The 18,685-nt window shown below is 34.9% G+C and overlaps 1 protein-coding gene and 1 long non-coding RNA gene across 6 annotated transcripts in view, besides 1 other annotated feature; one reads left to right on the plus strand and one right to left on the minus strand.

The window, feature by feature from the left end:
- CAVIN2-AS1 (CAVIN2 and TMEFF2 antisense RNA 1) overlaps positions 1-18,685 on the plus strand; it is a 217,342-nt gene that overhangs the window by 145,853 nt on the left and 52,804 nt on the right. The window lies entirely within an intron of this gene.
- TMEFF2 (transmembrane protein with EGF like and two follistatin like domains 2) overlaps positions 1-18,685 on the minus strand; it is a 245,888-nt gene that overhangs the window by 43,295 nt on the left and 183,908 nt on the right. For all 5 annotated transcript variants that reach the window (XM_011510890.4, XM_017003739.3, NM_016192.4 and 2 more), the window contains 2 exons: positions 6,720-6,868; positions 5,922-5,981 (listed from right to left, as the gene is read on the minus strand). In XM_011510890.4, the coding sequence (XP_011509192.1) occupies positions 5,922-5,981; positions 6,720-6,868 (209 nt within the window). The remainder of the gene's footprint in view (positions 1-5,921; positions 5,982-6,719; positions 6,869-18,685) is intronic.
- Positions 10,183-10,435: a silencer, noted in NCBI's record as "fragment chr2:192867249-192867501 (GRCh37/hg19 assembly coordinates)". NCBI's record gives its function as "represses an EF-1alpha promoter that drives an FKBP-Casp9 reporter gene in an ReSE screen in phorbol 12-myristate 13-acetate-treated (for megakaryocytic differentiation) K562 erythroleukemia cells {active_cell/tissue: K562(+PMA)}" and the evidence as "EXISTENCE:reporter gene assay evidence [ECO:0000049][PMID:32094911]".

Raw genomic sequence — 18,685 nt, forward strand, 5'->3', positions numbered from 1 at the left:
GCCACATGACTGAATTAATTCATTTTATAAATATGATATGAAATCATTTGATATCCATGCCTAAATATGTACAGTTGAGGCATAATCAAGGCAAATATTAGGTAAATCAAGCAAGCACCCTATTTACACAGGTAGGCAGTCAAAATGTCAAAATACTGTGTCCGGTTCCGGCTCAGCCACTTAGCTTCTTTGAGACTCAATTTTATTTCCTCTAGTATTTGTACCCTTAGTGCTTTATTGGGTTGACATAGAAGAAATGAAGCAATGTGAGTGAATCTTAGTAAAGCTATGACATATCACAATATGGCTAAAAATTTTTACTTTCTGTTTATTTTTATTTTTTTATTAATGCAGGATTACTCAGTAGCAAACACTTTCCTCTTGCTTTCTCTTCTCTATGTGGAAAAATAGGAAACAGAAGAAGGAAAAATTTAAAAGCAAACATTATATCACTTATAGGATGCTTAGAATATATAGATTTGAGTAACTCTTTTGAGCATCTCACAAAACGTAACATCATGATGAAATATTTTTGGGTCTGGAACTGCCAAATGGTTAACGCTTAGGGTGCAGAGTCAGTCCCAAAGCTGGGACTTGTTAGATAGTGACACTTCTTCCCTGGTCCTCACACTTGCTGGATTCTGGAATTAGCAATGATGGTTTTAACCTTAGTTCTATCACATTCTCTTTTTATTTAATCTCCCTGAACCTCATATCTCACCTGTCAAAAGCATATAGTATCTCTTTCACATGTTTGTTGTGAAGACTGAAGGAGACAGTATATATGAAAAGGCTTTGTAAATTGCAATGGCTTCTACAGAGAACAAGTTATTAGGACAACTCACTTAAACTATCTAGATACCCTTTCCAGATGTCAGCTTCCTTTAATGTGGAAAAACGGGATGTTACTAATAGGATGGACAGAATGTCGTTTAACTATTTCTGATTTCTTTCTTCCACATTTCAGACCTGAGATTAATGTATAAATTATTGTTTGAAGATGAGGAATGGAAATTTTCCTAAAAATAAATATTACAAGAAATAATGAATTGCCACAGTATAATGTTCAACAAGTAAACACAGGAACTCGACGCAGGCCTGTAGCTAGACTCAGAGATAGGGAGGCCCTGTCTCCCCTCCGAGGACATGAAATCCAGGACTTACATTTTTCACGAACAGCCAGGGGAAATATCTTCTCCCCACATACATACTATAATCCAGCATAGTCTTTATCTTAACTTTACTCCTGTTCCTGTTCAACCTATGTATCCATGAGGAAAATAAGCTCAACATGCTCCTCCTCATAGCTATTTCCTCTGTATTTTTTCCAATTTGGAAAATTGGAAATACCCATAAATGAAAGTCATTACTTTAGTCTGTCATAGAAACACTGTCCTTGAGTTATACATATTTTAATTCTATGCTCTAGGATGTTGTCAAAAATTGATTTTAAAAATTCCCAGCCATACGGAGAGCCTCTTGGCGTATTTTGTAAAAATCATTGTTGAAGATTTTATTCATTTTATGTTTTTCACTGATGCCTTGTAGAAAGATCTATGCTAAATAGTTCCTTTATAATTTAGCATAGAGAAACTTTGTCTTTTGTCTCTGAACTTATTTTTTATTTTTTATCAGACAATAAAAATCTAAGTTTCATTTAGCAGATACCTATGTTGACTTGTTCACCTTTGTAAAACCCCAGGACAGGGGCTTGCATATTGCGGTGACTGCAAATATTTGTTGAATGAATTGATTCAACCATAATTTCTTCTTTTGTATTGGTTGCAAAGAAACTTAGGGCTAAATACAGTAACTGTAATAGTCTGTGTTGCTGGTATATGTATTTTCTTTAACAATTCTGATTTTATGTTTTCAATTTCTATTTAAACAATTTCAATTTAAAAAATATGGAAGAAAAATACAAATGTATTTTAATTATAAAACACTCCAAACTCTGAAAACTGGTGTAGGATGTCATAAAATAAAAAACATTTTATTTTCTAGATAATTAAAACCAATATCATCTGACTTCATTTTATAAAATATCTAACAACTTATAAAATTAAGTACATTTTTACTGGAAAAAATATAGCCTTTTTTTTTTTGAAGCATGACCAAACTTTTAGACAGAAAAACAACACAATCAGAAAATATACATATATATACTGGATAAAGAAAAACAAATAGTTGAACTTCATTTTTCTTTTCCATTAGAAGACATGAGGGACACACACACACACATATATACACATATATATGAAAGAAAATGTTGCAAATTTCAAGAGGTGTAAAACATTTGCTATTTAAAAACTTCCCAAAGGACAGTTTAATTTTAGCAATTTAAGACAATGAAAAGCCTGGAAAGCCCTAGCTTTGTGTGTTTGTAAAATTTGTGTTCCCGAATCTTTCTGTGGGTGTAGAGACAGACCTAACTCTAAGCCCAAGTCTTATATTGATGAAGGGAGAATAACATTAAATGGCCTGGTTAGCTCATCTGACAAGTATCCTGTCACTGGGCTTTGAAATGAAGAGATCCAAAGCCCTTTATTCAAAGCTCTGTAATGCCTTGGGTCTCATTAAAGGAGAGAGGGCAGAATAGAGATCCAAATCAAATGCAACCAGAAAGTAATACTGGCAGGGATGATTGAGCAAATTCTTTGGTTTCCTAGTGTTGACTACATTTATGTGCCTTTGAGGATCATGGAATTCACATCTCTGAGCAAGTATGCCACACTCTAGTATACTGCACATATTAGTTTTGTTGAAGGCATTGCTCCCTTCGTTTGCATTTATTGCACGTTTTGGTAATTCACCTCCTGCTGATCCTTGCTGGGATCTCTTTTAACTGATATTAAAAATGAGATACAATTAATTTATTTTAAGATTTAGACTTTCTTTCAAGAAGATCTCCATTTTTATAATCAGAAACATGTGTTCCTGTATTAATAGCTCTTAAAGTAGGCTCAAAGAAAAAACTGAGAGGGATAAATAAGGGTTTTTAATCTATAGTGTTAACTAGATATAAGGCAAAAATGATAGTATGTTAGATCCTTACTTCCCTCAGGTGGGAGAGTCCGTGAATGTGTGTCTAACAAGGGAAGTGGCTGTGACATTAAATGAGCTGTGAGCACACAGCAAAGTTTGAGGGATACGAGTCACACAGTTCCTGTTTTCCCTCCTTGGACAGATTTTAGCATATGAAATAGTAATTAAGAGGACAATGACACATAGACTCTCTATTTGGTTCCTTTTAATTTTTTCCACAGTTTGTGTTCCCAAATTCAGGAAACTGTAAATACTATTGGAAGCTTGGAAATGTTGAGGAACATGACTATTACTTAAATGATTTCTAAAGAGGGTGTATATTGTATTCTAATGAAACCATTAATGAAGACAAATATATCTAAAATTTCTTGAGAATCTTGACGTATGCAATCTATGTTTAACTAGGAATTACAAGCTTCAATTGACATTATCTTTGTTCCTGTCTTATACTTGGATTTCAACAAACATGTATTTTTAAAATTTACTTTTATCTTAAAAGTTTTTCTTTAGAGTTTGCAGGATAAATCTGACACCAAACTAGAAGATCCTGGACTACAATGAGTGACAGAAGAGTTTTCATTTGCATGTATTAAAAATGTATTTTTTTCTTCCTATGCCTAATAAAGCAGTAAGATAGGAAAAAAAAATGCCAATTAAGAACAGTGACACTCAACATTAGAGATAATCTGTTTAAAAAACCAAACCCATATATAAATACTTTTTGGAATAAAAATTCAATTATCAAATCTCTTTGAAATGGGCAAAATGTTAACATGCAATATGAATGACTTTGAGAGATCAGTAGAATCTCTCATGATATTTATTGGAATAACTTTATAAATGCATATATATTTGTATATTGACACTGATCAACTTGAAGAGTTCTTTGTTTCAGGAACAAAATTCTCAGGGAGAGGCTTGATTTTTCAATGAGTACAAAGACGGATGGTTCACTAAAGAAGATATGCATAAATTCTACATTTTTGAAGATTTTTCCAAATGAATTAGTTTGCAAAATAGGAGTAAAGGTATTTTAATTGCAGTTAGTAGCAGTGGCTTATAATACCATCAAAATATAATAATTGTTTATAAAATATATACAATTTAAATTTGTTTTCATTTAAAATTTAAAATATATACAATTAGCCTCAGACTTTTATTTTTCATTATTATCTTTTATTATTTTTGATAATATTTCTGTGGATCAGCATATCACAATGTACATTCTTGGAAACAATACTGCAAAACATGCCACAAAAATGTGTTATCAAACAATTTTGTTAAAAGCTGTGTACTATAAGGAACTATTCATAATTTTATTAGGTATGATTACAGTATTGTAACTTTGTTAAAAAATTGTTGATTTTTTTTCAAGATGCATGCTAAAGTATTTGTGAATGAAATGATAAAATTTTCAGGATTTGCTTCCACATATTATGAAAGTATGGAAAAAGGATAGGGGTGAGGACAGGGCTGGGTTAGCCACGGGTTGGTGTTACTGGGCTTGAATGATGAGTACTTGTGGGTTCAGTAAGCTATAGAACCTACATTTGTGTATTTTACCTTTATTTGAAATTCTCCACAACAAAAAGTAAAATAAATAAATAAAAGATGTATGTCTCTTAAATATTTTATAATGAACATAAGAGCTGTGAGAAGTTCTGGGTAGAAGACCCATTTGTCTGTATGAGCTCTTCCAAACTTACAGATCACTGAACTATTCTTTTCAAGGAACATCTGTAAATTTCTCTCCTGGACGCTTTGGGAATGGCTATACATTGGTAGAACCAATGTTTTTCCATGTATAATTGTCCATGATAATTTCTGTCTTATAGCACATAAAAAATCCATCTACATATTGAAAAACATTAAGATAAAATGTGGAAAATGTTTAAAATATAAATGTTTAAAATATCTTTTTTATTTCCAAATTCTAAGAGATTTCAGATCTCTATATTAACTAATTTTTTAAATTTCATACACATTTATCCTGATGTTAAAGAAAATGAAATTTCAGAAAGAAAGAATAGATGGTAGTATATATTTTAAAAGACAAGAAACAACTCTTTTTGATTGAATATTTACCATAAATCTAGTTATGATTGCTTAATATCTAAATGAAAAGCTCTGCCTAAAAAACTTCACATATCATTATCAACCTATATACTATTTATATATTTTATCCCAAATTTCTATAAAATTTAAGTATCTGTTAAAATTTCAGTTGTATACCCATGAATTATTTCTCACTCTAGAAAAGTTAGATTAGCTAGAGACATTCTTCAAAGTGAAATAATTGTTAAATATGATTTATATTTATATAAAATGCTTTATAATTTTGCATGTCTGAGAAACTACATTTTAGTTTCAAAATAAGTTAAAGAAATTTACTATTAAAAAAACCTATACATACATTTTTAACTTTGCATCTAAATAAAGACAACCTGCATTATTATTTGTAGCTGTCCTTTCTAGCTTTTTAGAGACTAGCAAACTTTTCATTGTTGACTTTTATGAAAATTTAAACAAGAACATTTGCATTTATTATAATATATTGCCAGAAATTGCATTCATTTCCATTGATGCTATTAATTTGATAAATGTTTTGTTATTTGTACTATTTGCACTGTAAAGACAAGCTAATTATATCTTAGTGACATTTTTGACAATTGCTTTAACTCTGGCAAAAACCGTATGTCTTCTTTGCTTCAACAAAAAATTACTCTTGCCTAATGAAAGCTTGAACTAAGCAAGAGAAGGCTAGCACATGTTAGAAGTCTTGCAAGCTTCACTTTGGAATAAGTAGTAAACAACCATTTCCCAGGACTCTCTTTTAATAGAAGAGCTCACATTTTGTAGAAGAAAATATTATGTACCTGCATAATCTGTTCTTGCATAATGCCCATCTTCAGACTTAGTAGTTGTAGTTGTGTTATCTGTGTTAAAAAATTAACAATAAAAATTGATTAACTGCTTCCTAAATATCTAATATCAAACTTATATATTTCCTCCAACAATATCTTCATTGCAATTAAGGAATTTTTACAACTGTAGTTCTAAGCAACCTGCATCATACTAAGACAGATTTACAATGTCAATTTCTGTCTGAGAGCAAATAATAAAATGAAGAGAGCTTTCTAAAGTTTGGGAGAAGAAGAAGATTCACAATTATAACTGAGAAAAATTGGTCAAAGGAGTAACAAAACCTAAGAAAATGCTTGTTTCTGAACAAGAAAGAAAATAGAACATTCTAGTACCTCTTGCTTTTAAAAATGCATTTTAAATATTTGTACTGAATCAATACATAAAAATGAAGTGATTTGCTTTTAGTTTCAAGGATGTCTAATAAATTCTTAGATTCGTTTTAAAAATGTTTTTGAGTTTCTTTTTTCCCTTTGCAAGAAAATTGTCTGCTATCTTGTGAATATTGGCTTCTGTGTTTATGGCATTGTGACAATACAGTTCCATTGTATAGAGACAGATCTGGACGGTTGCTGAGAGCCCCTCAAAATCCTATAATCGACACAAATGCTACAGTAGACTCTACTATCCATTGTAAATAAGCACTGCATTTTGGAAATGGAATAGCTGCCTAATAAGGAGTTTTCTTCACTTTTCATTTTTGCACAAAGACTAAAATCATTCTTTGAAATGAATTTTGGTATGAACATTACCTTGACATCGACCCAAAGACATGACTTCAATTTTCTCCTGTTTCTGACACGATGCTTCTTTGATTTGGCATGCATTATCATAAGATTTCCCATCAGAAGCGCAGAGGGGATTGAAGTTGGTTTGAGAACAGTCAATATTACACACACACCTAAAAAAAGAGAGAAATAAAAACATGTAACATCAATAGTGTTGTTACCACATTATAAATAAAACACAAATGAAAGAATTGCTAAGTTGACAAAATGCAAGTTGGCAAAATTGAATTGTATCCTTCCAGGGAAGTTCCTTCACTTTTCTAACTGAGAAGAAAAGAAACACAGAACTAATGGAAAATAATTCAAACAACTGAGCAATGGATAAAAAATAAAAGGAAAAACTCAAAAATGATCATCAGTTAATTTCTGCCCTGGAACTTTTAAAACATGTACATAAATTTCCATGCTGATATCTGCAGAATATGAATAGGCTGAGGTCATGAAACTCTGCTTTAGAGTTTTCTTAAATTGAATCTTACTCTTCCTTCTTTTCTTGGGATATTTGAATGGTTAAAGCTTGTGGAAAACTGACTCAGAGGACAGTTCAGAGAAAGCAAACAAGTAAATTATTTGGCATGCAATCAGGAGTCGTATTTCTTTGGCATAAATAAGGACGCACATAAAATGTACTAAAAGGACCAATCTTCAATGGTCCTTAACATTTTGGGGGGGCCACAAAACCCTTTGGAAAAATGAAAGCTATAGATCTCTCCCCAGAAATATCCATATTCATATAAACAACCCTTCTGTATAAAATTTCAGGGTTGTCTTGGGCCCCTTTAAGCATATCCTATGAAACCCCTTCCGAGATATACACTACTATTTTTCTACCTCTCATTTTAAATAATAAAATAATAAATACAAGTTGATTGCCACTCATGATGTTAATATTTTTCTATAATCTAAATAAAAATTCAGTGATTTAATGAGAATTAGGTTACCTAAAGAAGAATTAAACATTTTCAAGAAAATTTTATATGATTGTTCCTATATCTTTACACTTCTCTATTTTATTATTCTGAATATTGTGTCTTGTGTGTTTTCTGGTGTATGTGTACAACCATGTTACAGCTTTAGAATATAAACTCATATTTTAAATTTTTATTAATATTTATGTTGTTTTTGTAAATAGATTATATGTTTCTCAAAGTCATGAAGCATACATTTTTACTTCTGTATATTTTACTGAGAGCTAGGCATACAATGGCAAGCAGGTTACTACATGCTAGACTCTCAACATGTATTGCTTTATTTAATCCTCACAACAGCTGTTTTACAGACCAAAGACATTACATAAGGTTAGACACTAGTAAATTGTGGAATAAGGTCCCACTCATAGATTTGTTAAGCTAAAACCCAACCCCCTCTCTCTAATACCACAGACTGTGTTATTAGAATCTCCTGGAGAACTTTTAAGTATACAGATTCATAAGCAGATTTCTGGGCTCCAGTAAATCTAGGGTAGCTTCTAACATTCTATATTCTTAAGTAGTCATCCTGGCACCAGACTCAATTCCTGGGAATCACTGCTTGATCAGTCTGTTGATTGAGAGAGGCTTTGTATACACACCAGTGCATCTCAGAGTGTAGTCCTTAGACCATCTGTGTCAGAATTACCTAGATTGCTGTTTAAAAATGCTGGCAGAAAATGTGCTAATGAACTTACTTATTTATTTATTTATTTTGTAAGAGAATTGCTGTAGGAATGCCTGGTTATTTTTACATTTACCTATTTAGGAACAAATAGCTACAACAGATGGCAACCATCTCTAAACACTTAACTCATTGAGGAGCGGTGTTCCTACCTTAGCTTTGATGTTGCCATGTGATCACAAGCTACTGGAACATGACATTGCTACCTCAGCTGATTCTTGGCATCTGAAAACCTGAGATCAGGAGCTGCCTACATGTTCAAAGAGCTTCTGGTTCTTATAGAGCGGATGTGGATAAGTGACTCTGTAGGCCAAGCCTTAATCATTGTATTAAATAAAAAAGGAGTGAGGAGGTTGACATTTGCATTTTTAAAAAGGTAGTTTCTTTTGCCTTCAAACCAGTTTAGATTCTGACTGTTGTTGTGTTAGACTCTAGGAATTATCTCCTTCAAGGTCTTCTATAAAGTTGTTTGTTAGCAACTGAAAAACAGAAAGGTATGTTCTGTCACTTGTCTACCTAAATGGTAAATTAGATAAGATATTAGGGCTTTGACGGTATATCCAAATTAAGTCCAAAGAAATTTAGAAATGTACACTATATATATATTTTACATTTTTATTAATATTTATGTTTTTGTAAATGTTTTGTAAATAGATTATATATATATACAGTGTACATTTCTAAATGTTTCAGTGAAAAAGTCACATATATATATAGACAGAAAGTAATTGGCAGTTCAGAAACCCATTTGATAGCATGACAAAATGGTGCAAAGGGAATAGAGATGGTGATATAGTTTGTCTGTGTCCCCACCTAAATTTCATCTTGAATTGTAGCTCCCATAATTCCTATGTGTTGTGGGAGCGACCTGGTGGGAGATAATTGAATCATGGGGGCAGGTATTTCCCTTGCTGTTCTCATGATAGTGAATAAGTCTCATGAGATCTGATGGTTTTATAAAGGGAAGTTTCCCTGCACAAGCTCTCTTCTCTTGTCTGCTGCCACACCTTTCACCTTCTGCCATGATTGTGAGGCCTCCCTACCCACGTGGAACTGTGAGTCCATTAAACCTCTTTCTTTTGTAAATTGCCCAGTCTTGGGTATGTCTTTATCAGTAGGGTGAAAACAGACTAATACAGACAGAAAGATAAAATTTGATTGAATTGGACTGGTTAGAATCAGTGTTTCACTGAAAAATTCACTTAAGCTTTAACACCAAATTGAACAATTGTGTGGGATATTTTACAAGATTCTCCAATTGGTGTATTTATTTATTTATTTATTTATTATTTTTCAGTTTGACTAATCTGATTTTGGTCCCACAGCTTTTCTGCTGCTGACATCCTTCCCCCTTTCCTTTCCTAGCATCGCTTGCTCAAGGCCTCCTTTTAAGATTTGTTTCCTCTCAAAATTCCTGGCTCTTGTTGCCTCAAATAAAGCCTTTCATGGAATGGCTAAGAAACAGGTATAGATGGTTGATGTTTTTATTCTCAGCCCAAGAGGAGGACATAGATTCATTCCTTGAGGTGAAAGTTTCCCTGGGATATAAGCTTCAGGAATGCATGGATTATATTGGTCTTTTTCTCAATTGCATATCCTCATCATTAACTTCCATCTTTGCTCCCTACTCTATATACTTGCATATATTAAATAAATGCAAGAGTACATTTTAAAAATACTTCCTGTGACTCTCAGCAATCACTGGAAATTGGAAATCTATGGAGAATATTTTTTTTTTTTTTGTGAATAAGTGGAAGAAACTTCAAAGATTTGCTAAAATGGCTTGAAAACAATAAGCTGGCCGGGCGTGGTGTCTCATGCCTGTAATCCCAGCACCCTGGGAGGCCAAGGTGGGCGGATCACCTGAGTTCAGCAGTTGGAGACCAGCCTGGCCGACACGGTGAAAGGCTGACTCTACTAAAAATACAAAAAGTAGTCAGATGTGCTGTTGGGCACCTGTAATCCCAGCTACTCAGGAGGCTGAGGCAGGAGAATCACTTGAACGGGGGAGGCGGAGGTTGCGGTGAGCTGAGATCCCACCACTACACTCCAGCCTGGGCAACAGAGTGGGACTCTGTTTCAAAAACAAAACAAAACAAAACACAAAAACGATGAAGCTTGGGGAAAAGGAAATGTTGTGACTGGATTACCAAGGACCTACCATTTCTATGTTTCCAAAAGACCAATAAACTCTGATTACATAATCATTATTTACTATATTCCATGTATATATGTCTATTAAGCTTATTCAGTCAGAAAAACATGCAGGATTCCAAGACCATGGTCTGAAACTCTAAGTCCATCTTGATCTCTATTTGCAGTGATTGAATTATCTTTGCAATCCCCAACCCGCCCAATATCTTGCACACATGAAACTTTCAATAACTACATGTTGGATAGCTAAATGAAATGAATGAATACACTAACAATTTTACATTCTTAAAGAAAGGTTGCTATTCTAAAAGTTACTATTACTATGCCCATCTTACAGATAAGAAAATTGAGACTTGGAGAAGTCTCACAGCTTGAAAATCGAAGAGCCTAAATTCAAATTTAGGCAGTCTGATGTCAGAGCCTGCCCTGTTCTACATACTGAAAGTACAAAGAAAGACAGACCCAAACTCCTATCACAGACCCAAATTCCTATCACTCTCTGATTAAAGGAATCCTTTGAGTAAATAGGATTTGAAAACCAAGGCTATGTCTACTCTTGGAATATGTCATGATTTTATGAATTTAAATCATATTGACTCTTGGTCCTTGTCTTCTCAAACAAGCAATCCAGACTTTTTGTGCATCACTGGGATATATCAGTGAATGTTAGTTTTAAGACATTGCAAATTAAAACCTGGTTTTAGAATTAGTAACTAATTTTATGGGCATTAGATTAACCTGACTATCTAAAGCATCAGTTGCTCAAAATATTTTATCCTTAAATAAAATGCTATATAAAGATCCACATGAAAACTAATATTTACACGCAAATACACATACACACAAACACACAAATGTATAGCTCAATGAACTCTACTGAAATTACAAAATTAGAGAGTTTTAGCATTAATTTTTTTCCAGGTGTCTGCTTCAAAACTTTCAAAGAGGAATTTGGGGAAGTTTACATTCATGGGGTAGAGGTGGTTTTGTGTGTTTATATGAGTGAAAAAATTTGTGTGTGTGTGTGGGGGGGGGGCTCACACTCACCTCCATGGTGCATTTACTGCATTGGTAATGCACCTGTTTACTTGTTTATACCTCTACTTTTCTGCAACCTTCTCAAGGGCAAGGTGTTTTACTTACCTTTGACATCCTGGTACCTAGTACAGTGCATTACAAACATCTTCAATAAATGGTTGTTGAATAAATTACTGAGAATGGCAGATGGTGTTGAAAGAGTTGAAAATATTCATTGTGCTATATATTAACACCTAGGAGAGATAACTTTGTGCTACTTGGCAGATGTGGGGTCTCCAAAGGAGAGGGGGTTCCTGAAGAACTAAGGCTCACTGTCCTCCTTTTATTTGTGTTTCCACAGACAAAGGAAACAGGAAACAAACAGTTAGTAATCTTGATGGCATCAAAGTCCAACTGGGGCAAGAAAATGTTTTCACCAGGCAGGCTACTACTTCTCATTTGTGGTATTTGGGTACAGTTTCAGGCACCAATATAATTTGAACATGATAGCAACTTGTCAGTTTATTGCTACATTAAACCACTGAAAAACATAAGGCTCTGATAAAAAGGTGACAGAAGAGCCAGGTTCAGTGGTGTATGCCTGTAGTCCCAGCCACTCAGGAGGCTGAGGCAGAAAGATCACTTGAGGTCAGGAATTTGAGAGCAACCTGGGCAAAATAGTGAGACCCCGTCTCTAAATAAATAATTAAAAATACGTTTTGAAGATTAAAAAAGAAAAAGAAAAAAGGTAGCAATTATCATATAATGTAATGGTGAAACTGCAGGTCACTTTACCAACTTATGTAAATTAATCAAGGGTTTTTCTTTCTGCAGAAATGAAAAGCACACGTTTTTGAAAACAGAAACTATCCCTTCACTGCTTTTGGCAAATAATTGCATTATTATTCATTCTGAGAGGAGTAACTAGTTAATTATAGCATGTCACAAGTATTTTATGTGAGCCAAAGATTTGTAAGGCTGAGGACTGCACGAATGCCTTTAAGGTTTTTTGTGTTTTCTTTTCTTTTCTTCTTCGTTTTTTCAACCTATCTCAGTCTTTTGACATTTTGACACTGCGATTACATAGATCTCTTTTCTTCTAGGCTACAAAGAAAAAGAATCAGCCTTACTCGAAAATAATAATTTCAGGGGTCTGTATGTGGTAATACTACCCTCTGAAAATCCTTCAAAGAAAATTAACATTGACTGAAAACCTTAGCTCTCTGAATTATAAGATAGAAGAGAAATAGGAAATAATTTTTAAAGACCACTTGATGGAGTAAGGAACTTAAATTATAGCAGTAAAAGGTAGCATTTGAGACAACTCACATACATTTGTAACTATCTCATCAATATTTTCGGGGGGTTTGACATTAATTTAATTCCCTGCCTCACTTGAAATGGCTCTTCCAAGGATGATCTGCAATGAGTTAAATAAGCTTCTCTGTGTATTTAGAAGTGCCTTGTCATCTGCCAGAGTGTGAGAATGCAGAACCTGGCAGCTAGCAAATTACATATTCATGTGTCTGGTTTGTGGCTGCCCTCTAATTTCACTAGATTTTGTTTCATCTATTAAACATGGCTGTCACTTATTCCTCTCCCAAGGTCTTTGACTTGGTGTCCATTCCGTATTTTGACCATACAATATTCCTAGTTAGTTTCAAAGCACCCAACTATACCGCAGTGAGGCTGGCTTTCTGGTTGTTTCGGACCTTAACTGTGGTTTTTTTGTTTCTCTTGAGGGTGTCTGTCTCTGGGGCCATTACGCAGACCCTCTCTGGCCTGGCCAGTAAATAAGGTCAGAGCTGCTGTCTGTGATCCCTGTCAGATCTGTAATGGATGAACTGCATTATATTAATAACAGTAAAAACAGTGTGTACCTTTCATTCAAGATGCTTATGATACTTTAAGCCCATTTACTCATTAACTCTCACATCACTCCTTTTGATGGAACTTGATTATAAGTATTTTATCTGTAAGGAAACTGCAGTGCAGGAATGACTGTGAGTTGTGAGAGAAAATGAGGTAAGAGATGTGAAAATGCATTGAAAAATTAAACCCTGTATTCAAAGGGTAGAAAAGCATTAACTGACTGGTAAGGCTAATAAGTCTCCCATGTCATTACTCAGGTCTCAGGTGACTTTTTTTTTTTTTTTTAACTTATAGTGGGCAATCCTTTTAGTTTTGAAATCTAGGAGGAATGAATAATGCCCTTCTCCAGAAACATTACCCAGGACTGCACTCAGGTTTTCCAGGGTGGCCAGGCTCATCTTGCACGTGGAAAAAGCTTAGTTGCCATTAGTATCGATCTCTTTATAAGGATGCAAAACATAGAAGTTGGCCCATTACATGGGGAAGGTCTTGGGAATACTGGTCCTCACTGATCAGAAATAGACTAGGACAACAAATAGCCAATCAGAGGAAAACTGAGCTGCGAAACTCTTGCCCTGGGTGGTCCCAGGACTTCCAAAAAACGGAATCACATTTTGAAGAGAGGGAACTATTGCTGGGAAAGAGACTGATGGCCACATATTGAAATAATGTCTAATTATAATAAAGACAGATGGAGAATGTGACTACAGGTTGGAACTTGGTATTAGACCTCTATTTAATGAGGCTTATTTACTAGCTGGATGGCACTGGGCTACTTCACTTTCCCAAGCTTTAGAATCCTCACCTGTGAAAATGGAGATAATGACTCAAGACTGTAGTCACTAAATGCATATCAACTGCTTAACAAAGTTTCTGAGAAGTTGTAATCAAATACATACTGTCCATCATTAACTTCTGGCTTTCAAATCCTGGATTTCAAATTCTGGATGCAGATCAAAATCTTCTGTGGCATACTTAAAAAAACCAGATGACTGGGTTGCAACTCAGAGATTCTCATTTAGGAGGTCTGGTGTGAGGCCTAGGTAGTCGCTGTTGTCAAAAATGCTACGGGTGATTCTGATGTGCAGACATGGTGAGTTGGAGTTATATTAGATACTCTTTCTCACCCTCTAAGACTAAGAGATTTTCCAGATTTACTGTATATAAGATTTATTGTGACAAATTTTGGTGCAATAATATCTGGAGGGGCATTCAGAAATCAGTATCTTAAAGCAAGTTAGCTCTTTCTGTGGGAGAAGGTTTGCATCCCCTATTGAGAAATCTCAGCTACTCTGACTCCAGCCACATCTTTTTTCCCTTTCCTATTCATTCCATTTTAAGAAATTTAATATTCTTGTTTAATGTACACTATTCAGTGACATGCTTTAAAAGGCTTTATTCATATGGCACATACTCCATGCAATGTGTTTGGTGTCAGATGAGAGGGACAGGTGATTAAACACACTGATCTAAAAAACATCAGTGGCAAAGCTGTCAGCAGAATTAATTTGCCAAGTAAAACCAAGACCAAGTGGCAGAAAAGGGGGTGAAATTATCATGAGGTTCCCCTGTGTCTGGCGCCTTGCTCCTACTTCCTTAAGACTCTTTTGTTTAATGCTCATAAGATAGGGAGGAGGAGGTGGAAAGTGAACTGTCTGGAAAGAAGAGTAGGATTTAGATGAAGAAGAGTGGTGGAGAGAATGCCTGGGGAAATGTATGGAGGAAGACAGTATACAGTGTGCTGGGAGGATCACAGATCAGTCTGATTAGAATGAACTCTTCCCATCCAATGTGGCTGAACACAACGCTCTAGACAGATTGCAAAGGGCCTCAATTCCAGTCCAAGGAGTGACCTTTATCTTCTGGGGAATGAGGAGGCCTGAAAGGTTTTTGAGCACAGTGTGATGAGAAGGTCAACATGATGAAAGCGGTGCTTTAGAAAGATGGCGCTAGCAGTAGAGTGCAGGCAGAGGGACTAGTTCCCAGGCTACTGCTGTTAGGTATAGAGACAAGGAAGGAAAGCCCCAGAGTGAGGCATTCACTATATGGAAGAAAAGGAAGAATCATTAGGGTTTGGTGGCTCGCTACTTAAGGCATATTGTAGTGAAGCACTAAGGCAAAAATGTCACCCCATGTCCTTCCTGCTCTACTCTTTCCTGCTTTTTTCCTGATCTGTACTACGTTCCAAACTAGAAACTTATTATAGGAGCTGCCAAGCTCAGGGAGGGAGGCAGCTGTGTGTGTGACTCAGGAAAGCTTTCTTTCCTCATAGGGAGAGTTTTCTGCCCTCACTATTGGGACAGAAGCAAACAGGCTTCTATCACAACAGTGACAGCATGCAAGCACCCTTAACTACAGCTGAAGGAGAATAATGCCTTGTATTAATGTATACTCTGCCTGGTTCCAGGGTTGATTTAAAATGACTGAAACAAAACCACAGGGGCAGCAGAGACTTATTAACGCCCACTGTGTTAGTGAGCAAACAAGGCTCCTTTCGAGGCAGAAGTTGCTCCCACGTCCCTCTTCAGTGCATATGATAGATGGAAGCAGGATTTAATTCTCCATCCATTGTCATAGGTCACGATTGCCTTTTCCTCAGGATTATTCTTTCTTTTTAGAAGTAGCTGCATTTACATCTTAAAATACTCAAAGCAAACAATTCTTCCTCATGTACGTTTTTAAAAGTATCTTGAAGCAAAATTCCTCATTAGCATCATGTGTATGTGCTTGCTCATTAAGCTGGAAAACATATTCAATAACCAAGGGTAACTTCATGATCACAGAGAAGTGCGGTCGCTCCGACTGGATGGGTCTTTATACACACCTGAGTCAGGAAGCATGAAAACCCCAGAATAAAAAGTTGGAAGGAAAAACAATACAATAAAGTTACTTAAAAAAATCACTTTTGAATCATGTGGTAGACTAGATTCCCACTTGCTGCATTCTGTCATTATCATATTGAACGTTTAAGCACATTCCCAAGCGCCAGGATTCCCACACCCACTTTAGTGATCGGGGTGGCTTCATGTTTGTGTTTTACCAACTGGCCCTCTGTTATGCTTTCACTTGACAAAAGGCTTTTAGGAGTAAATGTGTATGAACATCATTACAGTTTAGATTTCCCACGAAACTGCAATTTCACATCATGCCCTTGGATTTTATCCATGAAAGATAAGAAACAACAGACAAATTACAGCTTTGCATTCTGGTAAAGTTGCTAGTTTGAAAATAATTGGCCACTACATTGTTCAGGTGGCTTTTATTTGTTTGGCTTATGTTTGTTTATCTTATTGTAAGAACACTCATGATAATTATTTTCAGAGAACACAAGGTAGTCCTACCTGGTGATATGGCACATCTCCTTTTATTAGATAATCGAGTCAGTTATAAGATCTTTTGTATTTTCCTTTGGTCTTGGCTCTCAGGGAGCTCAGAGATAAGCAGTGAGTAAGTGTGTGTGATTGTGCGTGTGTGTATATAAAATGAAGGACAGGTGGTATATGAAAACAACAAATCCTCAATTTCACAAGTTTCAATAGATTTTTTCATCTTATGATATAAAGGTAGGAAAATAAGGTGACATTTGTGCACTTGCAACAAATCATCATGGAATTAATTCTTAGTGTTTTTGTAACATGTTATTTCCCAATTGATGTTTGCTAAAGATTATACTGCTATAATTGAGTATAAAAATAAAGTACTAATGAAATCATGCTGGTATTAACTCTTCATAATTAGAACTGATACCAAATGTTTATCCTTCATGATTATATCAATCTTTTACTTACTGATTTTGGGGTCAATTTACTTTAAATTTACTTTAAAAAATAATATTTAATACATATTATACCATGCTATAATAAATATCATATTTGAATGAAGACAAATATAATAGAAATATTTATAGGAGTACTGTACTTGAAACCTGGAAAGAGAAGACGGGAAATATGATTAAGGTAGGAGAACACCTTAATTTTATCTGTAATATTATGGTTCTTAAGATCAAAAGCAAATATGCTAAATGTTTGCATCTGTTCAAATTAGGTGGTAGAGCACAAGTATTATATTACTTTTAATATTTTCAAAACACTGTACTTTATCATTTAAAATAAAAATATTAGTTTTGACATTTTGCTTAAAAATGTTTAAATTATCAACCTTGGTAAATAGTTTTTGCATGATTTTGATCAGGAAAGTTTATTTCTAAGTTGTTTAAACAAACTTTGAAAAAGAAATATGTGCATGGAGACATTCCACTGGACCAAGATAATGTTTCTTTGTAAACAACTATTTGAGTTTGTGTCTGTATAAAAGCGACTTTCAAGCAGAGTTTATCATATGAAGGGAATCATCTCTCTCTTTGTCCTCATCTTATGTGTTTGTCCACTAAAATGTTAAACTCAAAAACACATGGTGGCATTTTAGTTTACAGGCTCAAACCAGCCGTTCCTCACTGACTTCCTGCAGTATTGCCGGTGAGTTCTGATTGCTCCGAGAGAGGACTGTGTGGTCAGAAATAGTTGTGAGCTATTCTGAAACTCTTGCGATGAAGGACTTTAAGTAGAAATATTTCAACATTTTGCCTTGAAATAAAAATGCTTCTGAGTTTCTCAAAAATATTAAGCTTTAAAAAGTAAGAAAGGAAAGGATCTGTGAGTACCCTCCTAGAGTGAACCCCAGGTAAGGTCCTCTGGTCAAAGGTGTTTGGAGGTCTGCAGCTATTACTGCCACTTTTTTTTCCCCCCACTGAGGCATATACCTTTTAGTTTACCATAGATCTCATTTAATTCAATTGAATCACATAAGTGTAGCTGAGCACCTACTTGGTACCAGGTACTAGGCTGAACATCAGAGACAAAGATGATGCTTGTGATTACGGTTGGCAACAGAGATCACAACAGAAGGAGGAAAACAAATATTCATAAAACAGAGTCATCAGAGCTTGGGCTTGTTAGCATGAAAATGTATTTTGCTATCACTGAGCAGTAATAACTACTTACACCTGGCGGGTACAAAAAAGCTTTCACGGAGGATGTGATGCTTAAGCTGGAACTTGGAAAAGGAGTAGAATTTCAGCAGGTGGTCTCCCTGGTGCCTTCTAACAAGAGGACATGTAAATCCTTTCTCCACTGAGGATTTCCCCCTAACAGTGTCATTCTCATCCCAGATAAGTCAAGTAACTCAGAATTGTATTTTAACCTAAATCTATCATTCACTCAAAAGCATTTTTTAGG

The sequence above is a fragment of the Homo sapiens genome, chromosome 2 (genome assembly GCF_000001405.40).
Source record: "Homo sapiens chromosome 2, GRCh38.p14 Primary Assembly".
Classification (NCBI taxonomy): domain Eukaryota; kingdom Metazoa; phylum Chordata; class Mammalia; order Primates; family Hominidae; genus Homo; species Homo sapiens.